The sequence below is a fragment of the Homo sapiens genome, chromosome 3 (assembly GCF_000001405.40).
Source record: "Homo sapiens chromosome 3, GRCh38.p14 Primary Assembly".
In the NCBI taxonomy this organism is placed as follows: domain Eukaryota; kingdom Metazoa; phylum Chordata; class Mammalia; order Primates; family Hominidae; genus Homo; species Homo sapiens.
In genome coordinates this window covers 9,144,426-9,168,483 of record NC_000003.12, presented here as the reverse complement: position 1 = coordinate 9,168,483, position 24,058 = coordinate 9,144,426, and the positions used below count along the sequence as shown (strand labels likewise).

The 24,058-nt window shown below is 47.5% G+C and overlaps 1 protein-coding gene across 14 annotated transcripts in view, besides 1 other annotated feature; it reads left to right on the top strand.

The window, feature by feature from the left end:
- SRGAP3 (SLIT-ROBO Rho GTPase activating protein 3) overlaps nt 1-24,058 on the top strand; it is a 382,437-nt gene that overhangs the window by 194,544 nt on the left and 163,835 nt on the right. The window lies entirely within an intron of this gene.
- Nucleotides 367-416: an enhancer, noted in NCBI's record as "active region_19396". NCBI's record gives its function as "activates an Ori minimal core promoter by ATAC-STARR-seq in GM12878 lymphoblastoid cells {active_cell/tissue: GM12878}" and the evidence as "EXISTENCE:reporter gene assay evidence [ECO:0000049][PMID:35858748]".

Below are 24,058 nucleotides of genomic sequence, written 5' to 3'. Positions count from 1 at the left end.
CCTGCTCATGCGTGATGTGCTGGGCCTTGGTTTCAGTGAGGGAGGGCACACGTGCACTAGATTCTCCTGCAGGGCCTCAGCTCCAGTCCTGAGCGGGGTGGGGTTGCTTCTGACCAATCAGGTGACTTCTGAGCACACTTGGAGCAGTTGCTAACAGCAGAGACGATGGTTGGGCTCCTGCCACTGGCAAAAATGGGGCTTTAGGATGAAATGTCTGAGTTTGTCCAGATCCAAGCAAAGGACTGGAGAGGGCCTGGGGCCAGGCTGTCTTTGATGGGCTATTGGGCTAAGTCAAGACTGCATTTTAGACCTCACTTCTGACTTCGTTGCACTCCTGTTGACAAAGACATGCTGCCACTTGCTAGTTATACCCTTGGATGTGTCTCTTAACCTCTCCGGGTTTCCTTTTACTGCCCTGCAGAAGTGGGGAGAGTGTCACCTACCGCATAGACTTGTGGTGGGGAATCAAGGAGCTAATGTCTGTGAAAAAAGCACTTTGTGAATTGGAAATGGCTGTACAAATGCTATAGCTACCATTATTTGTCATTAGGTGGATTTAGTTCCCTGGAGGTATTTTCTGCTTCTGCATGCACCATGGAGTGCGCTTGGAGGCAGTCTTGAGGGAGGAGTAGGGTGGGAAGAAAACAGCGAGGCATGCTGAGGACTGAAAGATATCTAGGCTGGGCTCTTGTGTAGAAGTAGAGAAAATAGCTTTTGCTTTCAATCTGAAGTGGGATGAGTTGATGGCCTTCAGCAGATGCTGCAGAGTAGAGTTTAGGAGCTGGATTCTCCTCCTTCCTGAAGTTGCACCCTGGACATCTGGGGATGTTTCTTAAAACCAGCACATCCCAAGGACAGAGCTGGCCAAAAGCTAGGGGCTTGGGAAAGGAATGCGGTCCCAACTTCCTGCTCCCCCCCTAGGCGTTGACAGCAGGGAATTCAGCTCCCAGAATTTAGGAGCAAGGTCAGTGGATGGGCCATGGATGTGGGCATGTCAGCATGTGTGCAAAGTGAGGCATAGGCCTGGGGAGGGTTGCTGCAGGGGAACATAGGTAGAGAAGAGGAAGATAAATGACTCCTGGGAAGCAGCAAATGTCAAATGTGTAAGTACAGAAGGGAACTAGCAATGGAGAATGAGAGAGAGAGTGAAGAGGCAGTGAGGGGAAACCAGCAGGATGAGTCAGGGCCTCTGTGTCTTGATCCAAATTGGAATTGTGGGGAGAGTGAGCAGTCAAGGCAAGGCTATAGTGAGGGCAGGTAGGATGGAGGCTGAAAAAGCCACTGCAGGACCACCCTCAGCCCTGGAGGATCAATCCTCCCCCTTTCTCCTGCCCAGGAGAATTGCTGTCACAGGTGAGCTTCTGCTGATGGTGGGAGAGCATCATGTCTCTCAAGGCTGCTGGTTCGCAGAAGGATTAAGAGCCCGAGGACTAGGGGTCTCCAGGAGGCTGAAGAACAGGGATAGTTGAGTCAGGTAGAAACAGAGGGATGAGAAGTTGTAGCTAGAAAGAGGGGGTTTCTAGTTGAGGATTTCAGAGGTAGGGCAGTTCCTGGGAGTTGACAAGGTCAGGGTGGGGCCATATGAGTAAGTTCTAAGAAGGGATGGAATGGAAGACAGTTTGATTAGTGAGGATGAAGAAATGAAGTCAGGGTGATAACTGGTCATCAGCATGGATATTTCTGTGGCCCTGGATGACTGCAAGAGTGGAAGTCATGAGGAAGGCTGTGTGCTGGCAGCCAAGTTTACATTTGCTGTGGCTTGGAGGTCTGTAAATAACGAGGTGTTAGTTAGAATAGAGACACCCCAAAGTACTATGCTTGAATAAGATAGAAGTCAATTTCTCTCTGGCTTAAGCTGTCTTGGAGGCTCTGCTCCATGAGGTCATTCAGGGTCCTCGTTCCTTCTACATTGTTGCTCTGCCATTTTCTAGGATGTTTCATTCATCTGCATGTTGAGGCTGGGTCACCGTCACATCCACTCACATTCCACTGGAAAACTCTTAGTCACATGGGCATCCTTAGTTGCAAGGGAAGCTGGGAAATTTTTTTCCTGGGGGCAGTGGTGAGCCCAGCTAAAATTCTATCTTTGTGAACAAAGAGGATAACCAAATTTGTGGGACCATCTAGCAGTGTGGCCCAGATAGCTTTAAAGATGAGAAGTCATTCATTCAATAAACATTCACAGAACACTTCTATGTTAGGTACTGGGGTTACAGAGGTGAAGGAAATGGGCATGATGCCTGCCTTCCTGGAGCTCAGACCTAGTGGGGAAGGATTAACTGAAGGATGTGGTCTTCCAAGGAGGAAGAAAGGTTATAGACTAGACACATGAGAGCAGGCAGATGGAGATTCTTCACAGGCAAAGGCTGTGATGGGAATGGTGGTGTCAGGGAAGGCTTGGGTTTGGGGAGTAGGGTAGAAGATTCATTCATTCACTACTCACTCATTATTGTGTATTCAACAAGTATTGATTGATGGCGATACAGTGATAAGTGAAAACAGATACAGTGCCCCCTCACATGGGGTTTTCTTCCTCATTAATCAGATAATCACATATATAAGATGTATGATTACAACCTGAGATAAGGCTCTGAAGGAGCAGAATTCAGATCTGTGAAAGCATTTCACAAGGCATCTGACCTAGCTGAGGGTTCAAGGAAGGACAAATGGTGATAGGGAGCTGAATGGGTGTTAGCCAGGTTAAAGGAGCGCTGCAGACCAAGGCAACCGTGCATGCAAAGGCTCTGGGGATGGAAAGACTGAAGAACACAGGTGTGGCTGAGCAGGGTGGAGGTGGCAAGGAGGAGGAGGATTGAGAGGTAATCGGGACAAGCATGCAGGCCTTGTGGGTTCTGCTGAGGATTTTGGCATTTATCCTAAGAACTAAGAGAATTCACAGATGGGTTTTAAGCAGGAGGGGTGACGTGATCAGAACCCTGGAAAGAGCTAAGCCTGTGAGGCAGTATCTTTGCAGTAGAGCAGAAGAAACAGAAAGATCAGAAAGGAATCGGAAAGTCTGAGAGAACCAGGAGGAAGGAATGATGCCTTGGTGGGGTTTGTGGCTCACAGGGATGATGAAGGAGGGGGTTAGGAGCAGAGAAGAGGGACAGGGAAGGGACTCATGCACTTCAGGTTTCTCTCCAGAGCAGGACATGAGGCTTGTGCTGGGGCCTTCCCTGGGAAGGGCCCCATGGCTGCCTGACTTGCTGGCCAACATGGTGGGCATCTCGCTCCAGCATGGCTCTTTCCCAGACCCAGGTAGCATGACCCTCCCTTCCTGGTAGGAGAAGATGGCAGGAAGATAGGCCTCCACTGGGGGGCCCCCTTTTTTCCTCTGAATGTGGCACTGGAGACTGCCAGCAGACCCAGGCCCTGGGGCATCCTCCTGGCTCAAAGGCCTGACCTTCGACCCTAGCTAAGCCCAGCCTGCCTCTGCATCCCCCAAGGGGAACCACAGGGCAGGTGCTGGCTCCAAAATGTATGGGATCATGGGACTCCACTCACCTGGAGACCCAGAGACGGAGCAGGGAAACAGACTGGGCTGGCACTGGGTTGGTAGCCACAGGAACCTTCCTACTGGCTTATTTACCAAGCATGACTTTACCTGTTTTCTTATCTGTAAAAGGAGGATTTCTCTGTGGATCAAAGGGAAGATCACCTAACCTCAAGGTGTGGTATGAACACTGTAGACGCCGACAGTAGTAGAGGCTATCTGAAGTACTGAGTGGCCATGATATTTACCTGAAATACCTATATTGTTTGGCAAGGAAGATGATATGTGTTCAACCAGCAAGGAGATGCTTAGCATGTGATATCAGATGCCTCTGAGCTGTTTTTCAGAAAAACTGTGTGCATCTGTGAGTGTGTGTAAATTTTGTAAAATAGTCTGGGTGGGGCTGGGTGCGGTGGCTCACACCTATAATCCCAGCACTTTGGGAGGCTGAGGTGAGTAGATCACTTGAGGTCAGGAGTTCGAGACCAGCCTGGCAAACATGGTGAAACCCTGTCTCTCCCAAAAGTACAAAAATTAGCGGGACATGGTTGTACATGCCTGTAGTCCCAGCTACTCTGGAGGCTGAGGCACAAGAATCGCTTGAACCCAGGAGGTGGAGTTGCAGTGAGCTGAGATCACACCATTGCACTCCTGCCTGGGGAATGGAGTGAGACTCCATCTCAAAATAAATAAATAAATAAATAAATAAATAAAATAGTCTGGGTGTCAGGAGATTTGGGGTCCAAGCTCAGCATCAGCAGTAGTTGCTGAGTGACATTGAGCCTGACCAACATGGAGAAACCCCGTCTATACTGAAAATACAGAATTAGCCAGGCGTGGTTGCACATGCCTGTAATCCCAGCTACTTGGGAGGCTGAGGCAGGAGAATTGCTTGAACCTGGGAGGCGGAGGTTGCAGTGAGCCGAAATTGCGCCATTGCACTCCAGCCTGGGCAACAAGAGTGAAACTCTGTCTCAAAAAAAAAAAAAAAAAAAAAAAAAAAAGAATAGTAGTTGCTGGGAGCATTAAAGGAGATGCTACATCTGAGGAGCTTCATACGGTGCCTGGAATAGTGGGTGCGCATTCAATGGAAACAATGGGTACTAAGTCCCAACTTCCTCATCTGCAAGGAGTTGAGCTGAGTCTACCCCAGTGGTGACAATGACAAGGGTTTCCACTGGGAGTGTCAGTGTTTCCTATAGGGATGTTTCCCACCGGTGGGATCCCAGGGTCTCTGACTCACCCCAGCCCTGACTGTGCAGAGGCCTTATTTCTACAACCTGTTGCAGCTAGGAGTATGGAGCAGAGATCCTTGCAGTGGTTCAGGCCAGGCCGATCCCAACATCTGGAAGCCCTTTGGGGTCTGCCACCTTTTTCCTGTGTACCCCACCTCCCCTGCCCCCTCTGCTTTGACAGCGGCAGCCTTCTAGCTGGGCCTGAGTGGCCGCATGGCTTAAATTTAGCCCCACTTCAGTGATGAGCCACAGGCCAAGACCTAGGGGAAGGCCAAGGGGCAGCCACATTCAAAACGCCTTCGGTCAATACCAAAAGCCGAGCAAATGTCAGGCCGGTGAAGGGAGCCGCACCGTCTGCTTGTTTTTGAGGGAAGACTGGAAAACAGTCTTATTTCCTTCTTTTCTGCTTCCTTCGCTGGTTGAACCGCCCTGGAGGAGGCCCCAGGCCCTGCCGCCTTAGCTTGGAGCCGCAGGTTGGAAGTGATCTCTCCCACGAGAGTGGGCGCTGATGCCTGTGTTGGGTTTGGCCCGGACAGACTGGCTCCTCTCATGTGGCTCCATCCCTCTTGATCTCAGCCAGGGCAGCCTGGACAGACTGAGGCCTGGGCCAGATGATGTTAACAGCGATTGTTCATGTTTATTGAACACTGACTGTGTCCCAGGAATTGTTCTACCTGTATCAGCCCACATAGTCTTCATAATCACCTAAGAAGCAGGTACGGTGACCTCCCTCTTTTTATGGATGCAGAAAGTGAAGCACAGACAGGGTAAATAACTTTCTCAAAATCACAGAGCTGATAAGTGGCAGAGCTGAGACTGAAATTCAGCCTGCCTCCAAATCCCGACCTTCATCCACTGCCAGACACTGCCTCTGCTGTACTGGCTTGCCCCTTTTGGAGTCATTTACACTATTTCAACTAAACCTCAAAACACCCTACAAGGTAAGTACTCCCATTGTTGTTTCCATTTCACAGATGTGGAAGCTGAGACTCAGTGAGGTTAATCACTTGCCCAGGGTCCAGCCATGCTGCTGGGCTCTAAGAGCTCATGCTCCTTAGCCTTGCCCACCCTTGGTGCTTCACCCATGGCCAGCTCCCCACGCTGTGTGTGCCCCCACCTGCCAGGTCATCCTTTTCCCTGTGTTGGAGGTGTTGCCCTCACTGTGGTTTATCTGGCGGGGCTTAATCCCAGGGGCCTGCAAGTGGACCAGAAGGAGCAGGGATCACTCAGGATTCAAAATTGTTGGCAGCAAGTTCCACAGGCAGATGTTGCTCCCAGAGCCCCAAATATTAGGATTGAAATCGCCCATGTACTCCTCAGGGAGGAGGATTCTTTGCAGTTATCTTGGGGGGAGGTGTGTAAAGGGGGCATCTTAATATCCCATTCCCTATTTTTGCTTCATCTTTGCATATACTGAGGTTATTTTTATTTGCTGAATTGTGGCAAAATAGACATAACATAAAATTTGGCATTTTAACCATTTTTAAGTGTGTAGTTCAGTGGCATTAAGTACATTCAAATTCTTGTGCAACTGTCACCTACATCCATCTCCAGAACTTTTTTTTCTTCCGCAACTGAAACCCACTCCCCATTTCTCTCAGTCCCTGGCACCCAGCACTCCTCTCTCTGTCTCTATGAACTTGACAACTCTAGGTCTCTCATGTAAGTAGAGTCATACAGTATTTGTCTTTTGTGACTGGCTTATTTCACTTAGCATGTCTTCAAGTTCATTCATGTTGTGGCATATGACAGGATTTCCTGTCTCTGAAGGATGAAGACTATTCCACTATGTGGATATAGCACACCTTGTTCATCCAGTCCATCTACCCATGGACACTTGGATTGCTTCTACCTTTTGGCTGTTGTGAATGATGCTACATTGAGGTTTTGACAAAGGTTTGCTTGAAAAAAAATTTGGCTGCTTAAAAGAAGTTTGAAAGCTACTGGCCTGGTCTAAAGTTGGGGCAGATGGAGACCCAGCCAGCATGAGTGAGATCCCTGTGCATGAGGAGCAAAGCTGAAACTGCAACCTTTGGATTCGACATCTAGCACTTTTCTCCCTCCTATTGTTGGTACTGATATTTATCAAAGGAAAGGAGAATGCAACTCTGTCCTGGGCAACTACCCTGGTTTCCGAGAAACCTCCTGGAGCTGCAGAAAGGACTCAATTCAGCATTTATTGAGTGCCCAAGGGAGCCAGTCCAATGTGGAGATAGAGCAGGGTTTATATCCTATCTCTGCCTCTTCCAGCCCACGTGACCTTGGGCAAGTTGTTTCACTTCTCAGAGCTTAGAGGCAATGTGAAGATCCAATGAGATGACACGTGTCTTGTGCTTTTTGGTGCAGTGTCTGGCACACAGCACCCAGGAACCAGGAGCTGCCCCTGCATATGAACCACTGTTGGGGATAAAGCGATGAGCAAGAGAGGCACTGGCCCATGGGAGTTCTTTTCAGTGGAGCATATCAGCAGTCATGTGATGTTGATTTGTCCCATTACTGGTGATACTGACATTTATCAGTTGATTAAGGTGGTATCTGCCAGGTTTCTCCGTTGCAAAGTTAATTAACAAGTATTTTGTTCTCATTAATTAATTAGTATTTAATAAGCATTTTGTAGGCACTCCTTTGAGACTGCATAAATATTCAATTCCTCGTCAAACATTCACCCTCTAGTTTTAGCATGTTTTGTCAAATGGTGATTTTTATAATTCCATCATTCCTTCTACCATTATATTTGGAATTCTGCTGCAAGATAGAGCTTTTACCTCTCCTTTATGTGTTTGTTTATTCTTTCATTTATTCATTTATATCAGCATGGACTCATTATTTTCTATTTTATTCAATGGTTTATATCCATTACAATCATTATTTATTTTGGTGCTCAAGTTGTATTTTTCTAAATTTTAAAATGTGTGATAAACTTGGGGAATAGTACATAGCCTAGTATTATTATTATAAAATAATATTAAGCACTTTGTGTAAGCCAGAAACTGTTCCAAGTCTCTATTAACCCTTTACGTATATCAATTCTTCACATATGTAATATTTATTGCTGTGAAATAAATTATTCCAAAATGTACCAGTTTAAAACAAACACTTCTCATATGACACAGTTTCCATGGGTCAAGAATCAGGAATGGCTTAGTTGGATGGTTCTGGCTCAGGGTTTCCCATGAGCTTACAGTCAAGATCTTGCTAGTGCTGCAGTCAGCTAAAGGCTTAACTGGGACTGGAGGATCAGCTTCCACAGTGGCCGACTACATGGCTGTTGGCTGGAGGCCTGAGTTCCTCGCCACGTGGACCTCTCTATAGGGCTGCTTGAGCATCCTCAGCATGGCAGCTGGCTTCCAGGTTGAATGCTCCCTCAGAGAAAAAATAAGGAGGAGTCCACAATGCCTTGTATGACCTAGGCTTGGAAGTCATACACCATCAACTCTGCCATATTCTATTCATTTGGAAGCAAGTCACTAAATATGTCCCACACTTAGGGGGAGGTGAAGGATGCTCTTAGGTCTCTTTTAAAGAGAGAAGGTCAAAGAATTTATGGTAGTATTATAAAACCACCACAACATATATTAACTCTTATTCACTCTTTAATCTGCACCATAACCCTGTGAGGTAGGTATTACTCTGAGCAATTAAATGACTTGCCCAAGGCCACAGGTAGCCAGTGGTAACACTGGGATTTGAACCCAGGCAGCCTGGCTCCAGAGCTTACATTCTCAACCACTACCTGATCTGACAGGGCCTTGAATAGTTTTTTGGAAAGCATCCTGAGGCAGGCTGGATGATGATGGGAGAGATGAGTGTCCATTCCTTCTCAGGTGGGCCTTACAGGCAGACTCCCTCTTCCTTCTTCCATCTTCTGCTTTCCATATTCTCATTTTGCAGTGTATATCATCATTTAAAAAAATAACGGGCAGGGTGACAGTATTGGCCTCTTCTGGCAAGCACTGGGGAAAGGCTCCATGTGGCGCACTTATAGTTGGGGGAGGCAAAGTGGGACAAGTGTGAGATGTGGTTCTTACTCTCAGGGGCATATTGTCTACTTGGAAGGCAAGAATATAAACACAACATTATTATGATTTTAACTTTTATTTTAGGATCAGGGGTATACGTGCAGGTTTGTTATATGGGTAAACTGTGTGTCATGGGATAAACACAAAATTGTTTAAAACCCAGGTTATGTGTCTTTAACTGTTGAGTGGTTATGTAGCCCAGGATCGTGTCTTTGTTGCCCTTATCTCTCTCACTGATGTGGCGGCAGGGGGCCCTGTCACGCTTGCTGATTATTTGTTAAGTGAAAGACAAATAGATCCAATGATGGTGTCCTACAGTGGCCCAGGTGGCAGAGATAAGAAGGAGGTGGGTGGTGAGGCCAGGCGAGCTGGCCGGGGGAGGTAAGTGATTTGAAGCATTGGCCCCAGAAGGCAGGTCCCGTCAGGACAGTCAGCAGATGTGAAAAGCGAGAGGACATATCATCAGGGATCTACACAGACTGACAAGCACCAAGAAATGGGCCGAGGCTGGGAATATACCAACAGGAGTCTGGTGGGATGGTGGGTGGTGGGGAGGGTTCTTGGGATAGGCAGGTGTTAGCACCTTGGTTCTAGGTGGGCAGGCAAAGAGAGTGATGGCCCGAGGACCCCAGTACAGAACACGAGTTGGAACCTGGAACAGAGGCCCTTTGACCTTTGGTGCCCTTTGACCTTGTTTGGGCCAGAACTGGTATCAGAGGAGCTCCATCTCAGGCATGTGAGCAGCGCAGAGACTAGGGTGAGTAGGGGAGACTCTTCCTCCTCTGGCTGCCGATGGGCTCTGTCAGAGAGGCTTGGAGAGTGGGAGGGCATTTCATTTGGGTCAGCCCACGGCTATGTTTCCTGCAGGCAGCTGAGGCCTTCCCATGCCTGAGTTGTGGGTCATGGTGCAGGTTAGAGTGAGAGCTTACCTGTTGTCAAGGGATTTGTAGTGTTGAGTCCCACAGGAGAGACTCAGACCTGCACTGCAAATGGGATCTGAGGAACGGAACAACTGCGTTAGTCTGTCTGAGATTCTGTGCTTTCCCTACTGTGCAAAGAGAGAGAATAGCTTCTTAAATTTCTCTGCAGAGGTGGTTTAAGTGAGTGATTTGAGCCCCAGCTTTGCCACTTTCTGCCTGTGGGACCTGCAGGTGATATGGGATAATTTCCCACCTGGAACATGGGGATAATGAATGAATACCGGGGGTATTTTTGAGAATCAGTTCAATCACACAATCGAACATGATTGTTCAAACAGCAAAGTGCTATGTGAACCTCAGGGAATATGACTGTGAAATAAACTCCACTGGTGACAGCTGAAAGGCCTTAATATTGACAGTGGACCTATATGTCTAGTCACATTAACAGGGGGCTGCATGTGAATGAGCAACTGCCCTTCTCTGGCGTTTGAGCAAAACCTCAAGGAGAACCTGGCTAATAAGACCTCCAATCTGACTAGAATCCCTCCCCACCCCACCTCCTTGTAAAGAACCAGCTTCTGTAATAGTATCCTACAGAACCCTCCCAGGTTTGAGCGGACAGGAGAGCCGGAGAGAAGCCCTGATTTGGTCACATGGTCCTACCTCAGTAGGAAGCAGCTTTGCTCTTTTACAATTTGTTACAGGCCCGAGCAGGCTCCTGGAGCACAGCCTTGGGGTTGTCCTGACAGTCCTGGTGGGCTCAGCCAGGGGCAGTACTTCTTGATAATACCTGGAAGGGTTATTTTAGGTGGACTTTCAGAGACTACAAAAAGGATTAGGTGAAAATAACAACAGCTGTTATTCACTGAGTAGTAAAAGAGAAACTTGTGGGTCTGAGTCTCCCCTTGAAGAATCTTCCCTCGAGCTGAAAACTTTTCCTGTAGGATTACTTCCTGTGTCACATCATTAGTTGTCCCCCTGACTGTAGCAGTTTGTATTTTAACAGTGTGACATATACATATGTGTGGGTTATAGATGTATAAGTTGTCCTCAACTGTTTAGCCTGGGTTTCATTTTCCTCTTAGGATTCTCTTTAATTCCTGGTATCCCCCAGCATAATTTAGAGAAGGTCAGTGGTATAGTGGCCAAGAGTAGGGACTCTGGGGACAGACTCTATCATTACTCTGCCGTTACCAACTGTGGGCCTTGGGCAAGCTACCATTTCCTTTCCATAAAATAAGGACAACAGCATCCTGTTTTAAGGCTAAAACTTGCTAATGTGTGTAAAGTGCTTAGACAGTACCTAGTGTATAGTGAACACTCAACAAATACATGTTATTGTTATTATCTTTAAGTTGCTCTTATGGTATTTGATATGGTTTGGCTCTGTGTCCCCACCCTAATCTCACGTGGAATTGTAATTCCCAGTGTTGGAGGGGGACCTGGTGGGAGGTGATTGGATCATGGGGGTGGATTTCCCCCTTGCTGTTCTTGTGATAGTGAGTTCTCATGAGATCTGGGATGTTTGGAAGAGTGTAGCACATCCCCCTTTACTCTTTCTCTGCTGCCACCATGTGAAGACGTGCTTGCTTCCCCTTCGCCCTTCTGCCGTGATTATAAGTTTCTGGAGGCCTCCCAGTCACGCCTCCTGTATAGCCTGTGCAACTGCGAGTCAATTATAAATTTTCTTTATAAATTACCCAGTCTCAGGTTGTTCTTTTTAGCGGTGTGAGAACAGACTAATACAGTATTCATTATGCTCAAGAAACATACCCCACTACAAATAGAAACATCTTGAAAGGTTCAGATCAACCCATGGATCTATACTTGGAATATTAAAGAAAACTAGGGTGCTTAGGGGCACAGAGTAGGGTCTTAATAAATATTTTTACTTATTTGGGAATGAAGGGTACAGGGGATGCCCCTTTGAGGTCTAGGCCCTGCTCTGCTTGGCTGCCTCCTGTCTGTTGAAATACACACTCAGGCTTTTCCTCACTGCTGTCACCCTCCCAGAACTAGTCCAAGTCCCTTGGGAAATACGTTACTAGATCTTGCTTCCCTGCCAGTGCAGTTCTTCCCTACTCCTGGGCCAAAGCCTCAATGCTTTAGTGACAAGACCAAATGATAGCTTCCCTGGAATACATTAAGGGAAAGCAAATGGGTCTTAAAGTGCCCCTTGACAGGCAGAGTCCCAAACCAGGCTTATTACTTGAAATTTGGGGTGAGACTTGGGCTCCCTGACCTGGGAAAGGAGGTTAGAAAGAAAGCTTCTCTGGATTGATGTCTAAGGCTATGGCAGAGTAATATACCAACACATCCTTGTAGACAGTACCTGGCTAAGCCACCCAGCAGCTCATTGTCAAGACCTGCAATGTCCCCAATATCACCATGGGATTTAAGCCCGGAGCTGCCACAGGGTCTGGTTCTGCACTGGGAACTCTGCTGGGCCAAGACAAGCCAATTGCAAAATGGCAGAGGGCAAGAGAGCAGAGAGTGAGATTGAGAGAGAATGCAACAAACACAAAACAAACCTCCCATTCAACAGAGCAAGACCCTGTCTCAAAACAAACAAAACACACACAAAAACCCTCCTGACACCCTCCCAAACTCACTTCTGATGATAAGAAATAAGCAAAAGCTAATAATGACTTCAAAGCCTGTATACTGAGGATCCTGCAGGGGCTGAAGAAAGGAATAGCATTGGCCAGGCGTGGTGGCTCACGCCTGTAATCCCAGCACTTTGGGAGGCCGAGGCGGGTGGATCACGAGGTCAGGAGATGGAGACCATCCTGGCTAACATGGTGAAACCCCATCTCTACTAAAAATACAAAAAATTAGCGGGGCGTGGTGGCGGGTGCCTGTAGTCCCAGCTACTCGGGAGGCTGAGGCAGGAGAATGGCGTGAACCCGGGAGGTGGAGCTTGCAGTGAGCCAAGATCGCACCACTGCACTCCAGCCTGGGCGACAGAGCGAGACTCCGTCTCAAGAAAAAGAAAGCAATAGCATCTATAAAAAAGAATAAGTAATAATAAAATAAAAAGCAGGCAGAAACCAAACAAGAACACCGGATATAAAAAGAATCAACTAGAAATCAGGAAATACAGAATATAGTTTTAGATTTATTACTAAAACCTCAATAGATGACATTGACTTGATACTGGACATAATTGAAGAATTAGTGAATTAAAAGCCAGTGCTGAGGAATTCATGAGAGACCCAACCCGGGGCAATGAATAAAAATTATGAAAGATTAGTTAAGAGACACAGGAAGTAGATGGAAAGATTCCAGTATATGCCAAGCAGAGTTCCAGAAGAAGAGAATGGAGGGAATGAAGGAGAAGCAATATTTGCTAAGATATTGAATGCAGATTTTCCCATAATTGAAGAAAGACATGAGTTCTGGGATTGAAAAATCACCATGAGTGACAAAAATAAATCCACACCCAGACAGATTGTAGTGCAACTTCAAAATGCAAACCTCCAAAGAGAGACTCTCAAAGCCTCCAGAGAGAAAAGACAAATTACCTACAAAGGGACAACGGCTAGCCTGACATTCCCATCAGCAACAGCCAGCTGCCAAAAGGCCATTAGGAAGAATCCTGAAAATGCTGAGGGAGTCTAACTGTCAGCCAGAACTCCACGCTCAGCTAAACTAGCACTCGGGAGTGAGGATGCTATAAAGGCACTTTCAAATATACAAAAAGAAGACACTTTAATACACACCGAGGCCTGCTGAAAGAAATACTAAAGGATCAACTTCATCTAGAAGAAAAGTGAATATTGAGATTAAAAAACAGGATGCAAAAAAAAAACAAAAAACAAAAAACATAAAACAAACCACCTCTGAGCCTGGAGATTGATGAAATATGTTGGTTGCAAATTTATATAACCATTGATTATAAAGAGAACAAAGCAAAAAAGCAAAGCTAAACCTTTGTGCAAAAAAAAAAAAAAGTTCTAGAGAGGGCAGTTTCTACTCCCTTTCATTGTTGCATTGTGGGAAGGAAGTTTGGTGTTTCTAGATCACTGGTTTTTTCAAGATAATCCAGAAAGCCAGTTTTATGTGGAATGTCCTGACTTTTGAGAGCTTGCAACAAAAAATTTTAGCACCCTGAGCTCTGCAACACTTGATATGTTAAATAAAACTTCAGTTGGCCGCTCAGCCCGCAGTTGGTGATACTTCATGTTCCTTGGGCTCTCTGGTTTCTATCACGTGAACAGGAAAGTCTTCACGGAGGAGTTGGTGCTTATACTGGGAATTGAAGGAAGGATGGAATTTAAGTAACTGGAGAGGAGTGGGGTGGGGCCTTGAGACGTAGAGGTAGGAATGAAGCTGCAATGTCTTGGGAAATGGTGAACTTGATGGGGGGTGGGGCTGAGCAGGGGGAGGCGAGGTGGACTGGGGCTGAGATATTTGAGTCTCATCCTGTATCCTCAGGCCCTCTCTCCTGTAAGAGCTGGAAGCCAGTCTATTTTGAGTTACGTTGTTTAGCGTCTTACCTCATTCCCCAGGGGCGGCGGTGGTGAAGAAATGAACACTGTTTGGTGATGAGGGTGAGAATGCCAATGAAAAAGGCAAGGAGGAGAAACCCAGGGACATCTGGGAGAGTGTGTGGTGTGATGGGATGCTTCCCAAGGAGCTACGTCATGTGTCAGCCAGGGCTTTAATTAGAAACAGTGATCTGGAAAGCGGGGCTGCAGTGGGGTAATTCACGTGGATTTCTCAAGAGCTTGGGTCTCAGCTCTTGAATTTTCCTAAATGGCAGTGCTTCAGTGCTCAGAGCTGGCTTGGTTTTGTTGAACTCAAACCAGATAAACAAGTGGAGGGGACGTGGGTGGGAGTGGTGGGGGGAAGCTGGATCGTGAGTCAGGAGCCCCGGACTGCTGCCCTGTTCTTGCTGTCAGCTTCTTCAGAGGCAGATCCCATCTTACAGGGGTTTCAATTCCAAAGTCAGCCTGTCGGGCCACAGTCCCTAAAATTGCCCTTAGAATATAATGCACATGATTTAGTGCATACAACACTATACGATAACATATGTATATGTATAATGTATACAATAATATGTCATAATTAGAGTACATATAGCAAGATGTATTATTTAAAAGATCTTTTTGTCACTCTCTTTCCCTCCATGTGTATATTTTGATTATGTCTGTGTTAAATGTTCCTATGTTACCACTGCATTGCATGACTTTGAACATTAAATTAAAAAGTCATCCCTTTGGGTCTTAACAAAATAAAATGACTAACCTAGATGAATACAGGCCCCCATCCAGCTCAAAATCATTGACTCTTTCTTTGGCATTGTAGTTGAGTGTCCTTGTTGGAGGAGATGGGGTAGAATGTGGGTAAGGATATGTTGAGTGGATTGGGTTTTCATAACTGTGTGACTCTGAGACGGTATGCCTCAGGTTTTTTTCTCTATAAATCTGTAAAATGGAGATAATAGTATTTGCCTCTCAAGGATGCTGTGAGGATTAAATGATCCTTGTAAAATGCTAGGCAAATGCCTAGCACATAGTATTTGCTCAGTAAATGTTACCTATTATTATTATTGTTATTATTTGCAAAGCACTGTAGTAAGTGCTCTTGGGAAATGCAAAAGAAGGAGTCATTGCAATTAAAATGGATTTTGCAAAAACTGTACCATCAGTCCAATCAAGACTCACTCATACTGGGTGAGGTAACAAGAGTTTATTGTAAGGATATAAAACGCAACGTTACAGCTGTCACAGGTGGGGTTCCATGCTCCCTGGAAGGTGCTAAGATAGAAATGAGCATGTGGGGCATTTACTGGAGAGTTTGATTGGGATCAACGACTGTGGAAGCCAGGCAAAGGCAGCAGGACTGGGCAGAGCGAGAAGCTGAGCTCTGATATAGTCCTAATGAAGGCCTCAGCTGACTCCACGGGGCACTGTGGGACTTGGAGAGGCCCTTCAGAGTTGTCCCAAGTTATACCCTCATGTTGATCAGTCGTGGATGTGGGCTGCCTCTGGAAGGCAATCTTTATAGAAGGCTGACAGCCAAGGACAGTCTTCTAGTACCTGTCCCAGCAACTGAGGAATAAGGCCTTCCTTCCTGAAGGGGAATCTGGTGGCCCATCACAGAGACCACCACAATGTCCAGGGACTGAGAACAAAGTTCGGCCTCTCCTCCTGGTGATGGAACTGGAAGCTTGGGAATGGAGGCCACACTGCTCGTCTCTCAGGGGCTATGCCAGGTTTGTCTCTGCTTCTGTCTGCTCCACTCTCCAGCCTCTGTCTCTGCAGACTGGCTTCCTCCCCCTGCTCACTTTGCACTTGGCCCAAGGTGGCCGTCAGCTGGGCCTGCGTGGCTTTAGGGCTTGTACCTATCATAACTGCCCTCAACTCTTGTGTCTTGGTTCAAATGTTAGAGAGACAGAGAGAGAGAGACACAGAGAGAGAGAGAAATATTGGCTGGCTGAGGCCAGCCTATGAGTGGACACCCTCTCCCATCTCCACCTTGGATCACTATCCATTCCTGGTCCAGTCGCTGGAGGGAGAGGGCTGGATCATGTTATGCCAACATGGCTGGCTACCCATACTTCCCCTTTCTAGAGGTTGTGGCCAAGTCAGGCACATGTGGATGGGACATTTAATAAGGATTTAACAAGGACATTTAACAAGGATTGAGCACCTATGATGAGCCAGGCAATGTTCTAGGTACAGGGGATACAGCAGTGAATCAAACAGACAATGATCCCTGCCCTCATGGAGAGTACATTCTACTCAGGGAGGCCCAGCTGTGCAGAAATAAATAAGACACCATTAAGGCAGAGGTTGGGGATCTAGAACAGCATTTCCATAGGACACATGGATGATGTGGGGAGGAGCAGGAGGGGCTCTGCCCAGGAACCCGGTTCTATCCTTGTCTTCTCTCTCCCTTGCAGCTTCGACAGTTCCTTTCCAACTGGATTCCCGTTGCCTGCTTCTGCTTATCTCTGACCCTGTCCTGGGCTCTCTGGGCTTTCAAAGGCAGCAATACCTTTCCTTACTTCGGCTCTCCCTTGAGCTCCTTGCTGGCCACCCCTAGACAATTCAACCCTACCATGTCTGACAGCCACTTCCCTCCAACCTGCTGACCCTGTTGCTGGGAACTTCACAGTCATCCTTGCAGACTTGAAATGTTGGGATGCCCCTTGGCTCTGCTGTTTCCATCCAGCCAGTTATCCAGTTGTTTAGAGTGTGTTCCTCACATCTGTCTCTTCTTCTCTGACCAGTTCTGGCAGGTCTTCTTAATTGCTCCTCTTGGCTTCATTCTCTCCTTTCCAACCCATCTCGTTAGTCGGCCAGATTAATATTCCTAAAATGCATCCCTGATGTCACATCCTCTGACTCATCATTGTCTTCAGGACAAAGTTCAACCTCTTCTCTGGGCATCTCGGGACCTTCTTGGTCTGGCTCCAGGCTGCCTCTCCAGCTGCCCTTCCACGTTCTCCACATTGTTGATGGCTGCATGCCAAACATCCCGAACGAGCCTCCAGTAAGTTCTGGGCTCCCCACCTCCGTGCCCTTGGGCTGCTTCCTTCCCCCGTATGCTCTTCCCCCATTCTCCTCAGTCCTTGACTCATCTTTCTAGAAGCCTTGCCTGATGTGCTCAGCCAGATATGGCCCATCTTGCCTTCTTCTGGACCCCCTGGACTCCATTTGAATCTCTTTGCCACCCCACCACTAGCTGACTGTACTGCATGGCATTCTGTACCCTCACCTCCTCAAGCCATCCCAGGTAAAGACATAATCTAAGTGGAAATAGAGTCTCATTCTTCTCAACCAGCCTCAAGACAATTTCCCTAGTGTCTGCTTCCAAAAGATTGCCACCTCTAAGCTCTGCTTATGTAGAAAGTCTGGAGTTGACCCAGTTTCTTCTAGACTGGAAGGTCTTTGAGGAAAGGACTGAGGTTCAGCCATCATTCAGTCCTCCATAGCATGTGATCTGGGGCTTGCAAGATGTGGTCCATTAGGGAGTTCTTGGCTGAATGAATGAATGGATAAATGAATGAATGCCACAACACACAGCCTCCGTTGAGATGTTCTTTTTCCCTTTTTTTTTCCTTCATAGAGGCGGAGCATACTTTTGTTTGCCTCTGATGGGCTGCTGTAGCCCAGGGCTGTAGATTTTAGTAGTAAACCTTCAATTCCTGTCTCAGTCCCTGTATGAGAAACAGCAGAGAACCTGCAGCTTTAGGTGGGTGGCAGATGTTCCTTACAGTGGGGCCCACTGTCTAGGGCTTCTCTTGCTGCCCTCAGAGGCTGTCCTGGGCCCTGCCCTTCTGAGTGTACACTGAAAGTGTTCTGTGGCCTTTGCCTTCCTTTCTCCATCTGTGCATGGAAGAAGTTTCTATGATCTCTTCCGGGTTTAACTTGGCCTTGAAAATAAACATGGAAAAAGTGCCTGGGATGAAGATTGGGTCTTCTCGGTGCTGGCCTCTCCAGGCTCCCTTTTCCTCTCCCACCTTCTTACTTCTGGGCTCCAGCCAGATGGTCACTTGCCTCCTCCAGCCTTTGCCCAGGGTGTCTTCTGCTGGGGACATTCTCCCTGACCCTCCTCTCCTCACCCCATAGCTCTTTCCCTGGCCCACTCCTCTTCAGCCTTTAGATTTCAGCTGAGATGCCATTACTTTCGGGACCCCCTCTTGATCTCCCTGGCACCCCCTCATCTCATTAGGCTCACCTCCCTGTATCCACCCTGTGCCCTGCACTTGCCCTATCCCAGTGTTCATCTCACTGGATTACAGTTGCTTGTCAGTCCTCCTTCGTGGTCTGTTTACTCCATGAAGAAAGGGGCAGGTGTGTTCTTTGCCCACCACTGTTTCCCCAGCACCTGCACGGTATTGGACACGTCGGGGGCACTCAACAAACCCATGGTGAATGAATGGATGGAGCCATGGCTGGCTGGATGGGGTGCATGAATAGATGGGGGAAACAGGTGCTAGGTGGTTTGAGCCTGTTAGCTACTGCCGTAGAATTGTGCGTGACAACCATATCACCTTGGTGACATCAGTAACAGGTATTTATTGCTCACATGTCTGGAGTTATCTGGAGGTCAGCTAGGCAGTTCTGTTGAACTTGGCTGGGATTACTTGCATGTCTGAGGTTGGCTGTTTGGCTAAGGTGACTAGGGCAGTGCAGCGCCACTGCTTTTTCCCTCACCCTCCTGCAGGCCAGCCCAGACATGTGCTGCTGGTGATGGCAGGGGTGCAAGAGCAAACAGAGACACTCAAGGCATCTTGGAGCCCGACTGTAGCTGGAGTAGCACATTCTACTGGGCAAAGCAAGTCACAGGGCAGCTCTGTTTCAAGGAGTGGGGAACTAGATTTTGCCCCTTTAGTGAGAAAGGAATTGTAGACACATGGCAACGATTATGGATACAAGGAGAGACTGAAGAAGTGGGGCTATTAATGCAATTAACCTGCCTCATGGGACATCAAAAGTCCTGGGTCATAGCTTAGGATTAGGAAACTGAGGTGCAGTTAATGAACTTGGCCAGCTCTCAACTAACTGGGACCTAGGGGAAGACACATGTGCCAGATGGGCTCTCTAGCTTCAGGTTTCTTTTTTTCTTTTCTTTTTTTTTTTTTTTTTTGAGACGGAGTCTTGCACTGTCACCTGGGCTGGAGTGCAGTGGCGCGATCTCGGCTCACTGCAACCTCCGCCTCCCGGCTTCAAGCGATTCTCCTGCATCAGCCTCCTGAGTAGCTGGGATTACAGGCGCCTGCCACCACGCTCGGCTAATTTTTTGTATTTTAGTAGAGATGGGGTTTTACTATGTTGGCCAGGCTCGTCTCGAACTCCCGACCTTGTGATCTGCCTGCCTCAGCCTCCCAAAGTGCTGGTATTACAGGAGTGAGCCCCCATACCCAGTCTCCAGTTTCATTCCCTAGAAATAAGGGAATGATGTTGATGCTGCTCAACTCACATAATTCCAAGGAATCCATTCTTTCTTCAGCCCACTCTCAGGTTTGGGGAAGGATTACAAACTGTAAAGTGCTGTGTCATGGGAAGCAGAATTGCTCTTCCAGAAGCACTTGGCCCCCAGAACTGGGGAGGAGCATGGGGTAGTGGAGAAAGGATGGACTATGAGATGAGGAACCTGTCTGTAGGCCCCATGTCCCAGGCCCCACGTCCCAGGCTTCTGATATCTCAGGTTCTCCATTGTAAATTGGAGGCCCCGTGGGGTCAAATAAATAATGGATGCAAATGGATTTCAAAAAAATATCAAACACTCTGTGGTTGTAAGGTATTATTGGAAATGGGGGTACCCTGTTTCAAATAATTGCCAAAGTAGCTATTTGACAAGTCTGGCTTCACCCCATGGCACTTCCTCTGTCTCCCCAGATGAGATGGTTGGGAGTAAACTGTTCTGAAAAGATGCTTCCAGAGTCCAAGAAAATGACAAACAAGACTTCCTAGATGTTCTTTTCCTGCATGACACCATGAGGCACTGCCCCCAAAATTGCTGGTGCTTGTAGCACACATTCCTCTGCTTGTTTTCTGCCTAGCACAGAGAAATGCTGGGGTTGATGGTTTTTCTAGGGCGTTTTCTTCTTCCAGTCCCTGAAATAAAAGCCGGCGTTTCTGGAGGAGAGGCAGGCATCTCCGCCCTCATCCCTTTATCCTCCTCCTCCTCCTGCTCCTCCTTCTCCCTCCCTGAAGTTGATGCCCTTGGTGATTAGCGTTGTCCTCCCTGAGATGCTAATGGAGGTTCTCTTGGACACTTAAGCTAAACTGGATCCGTGGGTATTTCTCTCACTGGCTTTGGAGGAAGAAAACCAACAAAACAGCCCCTCCCTGGCTCTGGAGACAATCTCAGGCGTGGGAGGTGAGGCTTAATGCCTTTTATTCCCAAACTTTGCAGAGGGGCTTCTGAAAGATGGGAGGGAGAGGCCAGAGTGTGGTGACACCATCTGAGGGTCTGGGCCCCATCACAGCCCTGGTGGACCCTGGCCTGCCCATGTCATCTGCTTTAGTGGCTCTGGCACAGGCTGCATTCCTTTCTCCTGGAGGCTTCACCTCTCTCCAGAGGCCACCACTCTGGACGGCTGTGTGGAAACACCTGGGCCAGAATGCATCCAATTCCCGCAGAGCAAAAGGAAGCGCTTGGATGCTTCTTGCTGCGAGCACATTGTTATTTTTCTTTCCTCTCTCATGAATCATTCTGCCTGGAATCTTCCCTGGAAGGGCTCATCTGGCTAATGATTCTGTGCCCAGAATCAGGGATTTTGATGCACTGATGAGTGACAAGCTGAGGTGGCTGAGATTTAGGGGCAGGGAGCCTTCAGTCTGGGCTCACCTAGTCCGGGGCTCAGGTTGTGGCTACAGCACCTGACAGCCGAGTTCATTAACTCAACCACCGTTTCCCAGTCCTAGGCTGCTGTAGGTTTGTGGTCAGTGTTAAATGAGATCAGGTGTGTGAAACTGCCTCGCACAGATGGGTTTTGAATCTGACTGGAGTATGATCAACCCTTGAGCCTACTGACCCCTTACCCCACTTCTCTGGTGGCTGCCACAACCCCATATTCTTGTCCTCTACAGTAGAAGAAATCAAGGTGGGGGCCTGGCAGGCTCTGACTTCCAGAAAGCATTCCTCTTGTTTTGTGTTTACTTCTGCAAAAGTAAGAAGTAAAAATGGGGGTGTGTCCTTGGGCAAGTTATTTAATCTCCCTGAACTTCAGCCTCCTCATCTTGACAATGGGAATGGTATTGTCTGTGTTGTAGGGAAAGTTTTAGAAGTAACAGATGTAGAGTTGGGTATAGATTCAGTACTTGGTAAGTGCTAGCTGGATTAATTTCACATCCCACACGTCTCTGGTCTTACCAAACTGCAGGTGTGCGTGGAGGGGGTCCATTTCTGCCACTCATAGCCTACATTGCATCACAGCAGGCTGCCACCGCTGGGCGTCAGGTCTCCAGAGGCATCTCACGTGTACATGAACAATTCTGCTCATGCTGTGGTTGACCTCTGCTTCCTGCCAAGCACCCAAGAGGGACGCATCGTCCTCGCGCCCTGCAGGGTGTACCTTGTGGGGTTCCCGCTCCTCTTCTAGCACCTGGTCCTGGTGCTCTCTGTCTGCATACCTTCAGATGCCCCTGTGTTCCCATCAGTCTGTGTTGCTCTAGAACCATCCCTGTGCTAAGCCAAGGTGTGGAAGAAGCCCTTCCCTTAACTCTGCCAAGCTTTCTCATGAAATCTCATCATCTCCCATGAGACATCTGAATTGGGCCTTGAAGTATGAGTAGGAGTTCACCAGGTGAGGGGTAAATGTAAACTTATATTTCACTTAGAGGCCACTTCTTCTCCCAGACTGGCTTCCTTTTCATTAATTTTTGAAATCAGTTATAGAAATTGATGCTGGGGTTACCTGTCTGCACCTCTGGTTTCGCTTGGGGCTATAAAGTCCCTGCTATTATAGCAGCAGCTTCACATCACTGCCACTCTTATCACCAACTACAGGTGGAGCGGGACTCTAAACTGGGCAGTCTAAGGGAAATGCTGTGTGTGAACTCTACTACAAGAACCTTTGCATTTGAGATGGGCCCTGTGGCACTCCACGCATGGGGTTCTTGTACAAGTTAGCAAACCAGGATTTGTCAGTCAACACGTGGAATACCTGCTTGATGGAAGGAGCTCGATTGATAAGTCTTAGTTGAGTCTCCCTGTCCCTAATTGTAGTATGGCAGTAGCCTTCTAACTAGTCTCTTCTACCGATTCACTTGCCTCTATGCTGCCACCAGGTTTTCTGTAACATTGACTGTGGGGTAAGGCCTAAGCCCCTGAACATGGCCTTCAAGGCTATTCACCATATGGCTACAAGGAGCCCTTTCTGCCTGAGCTTCTTCCATGCCCTGCTAAACTTCTTAACTTTTAGCCTTGTTGAACCCCTCGCCAGTCCCTGAACAGGTCACATACTTCCAGACCTCAGGGCCTTTGCCCACTCACCATATCCCTCATGCCTTCTCTCTCCTCACCTGGTGAACTCCTATCCAACCTTTGAGGCCAGGCATGCATGCCCAGTGAAACCTCCCTGGCCCTTTTAGTTCCTACCATCTCCCCTACTTCCTGAGTTCCTTTCCTTCTTGATGTTCTTCTTTTGTGTGTACCCCTGTTTTAGCTCATTGTAATGTTGTGATTTTTTGTATTTGTTAGTGTCTGCCGAATTCCTCAAGGGAAGCTCCTGAGTCTCTCCCAGGGTTGTACATTCTTTTCCTAGCACAGAGCCTGGCAGATGCTAATAAATGTTGTATGAATCTGTAAATGAATGATTGAATATGGAAATAGGGAGTTCAATATGAACTAGGTTAGCCATGTCTTAGGAGGAAAGGGGATTTTGAGTATTTGAGTCAAACATAAAAACTTATATTAAAAACTTACATAAAACAGAGAGAAAGGAAAGAGAAAGAGAAAGCCAGGCGCAGTGGCTCGTGCCTATAATCCCAGCACTTTGGGAGGCCAAGGTAAGTGGACCACCTGAGGTCAGGAGTTCGAGAACAGCCTGGCCAACATGGCGAAACCCCGTCTCTACCACAACTACAAAAATTAGCTGGGCATGGTGGCATGCGCCTGTAATCCCAGCTACTTGGGAGGCTGAGGTAGGAGAATCGCTTGAACCTGGGAGGTGGAGGTTGCAGTGAGCCAAGATCACGCCACTGCACTCCATCCTGGATGACGGAGTGAGACCTTGTCTGAAAATAAATAAATAAATAAATAAACAACAGAGAGAAAGGAAAGTATCCCTGAGATTTTACTTGCTAGAGTAGAAGATAAAGTTACTAACTTAGAGAAAAGAGAGAGAAAGATTATATGGGCATGAATAACAATGAATTTTCAGATTTAAACATTTATAATGCACATGTAACCTTCATTGAATACTCAGGCACTGTGCCAAGCACTTTACATGCATTATCTCATTTAATGCTCTTAGCAAAACCATAGGGTAGTTACTCAATTTCCCCAAACGTGAGTATACCACAGTTGAGATAAATAGGAGTTAGACAGGTGTATTAGTCTGTTTTCACGCTGCTGAAAAGACATACCTGAGACTGGGAAGAAAAAGATGTTTGATTGAACTTACAGTTCCACATGGCTGGGGAGGCCTCAGAATCATGGTGGGAGGTGAAAGGCACTTCTTACATGGTGGCGGCAAGAGAAAATGAGGAAGAAGCAAAAAGCAGAAAACCCTGATAAACCCATCAGACCTCATGGGACTCACGTACCATTACGAGAACAGCATGGGAAAGATAGGCCCCCATGATTCAACTACCTCCTCCTGGGTCCCTCCCACAACATGTGGGAATTCTGGGAGATACAATCTAAGTTGAGATTTGGGTGGAGACACAGCCAAACCATATCAATAGGAGAGGGGCTGAGGTGGAG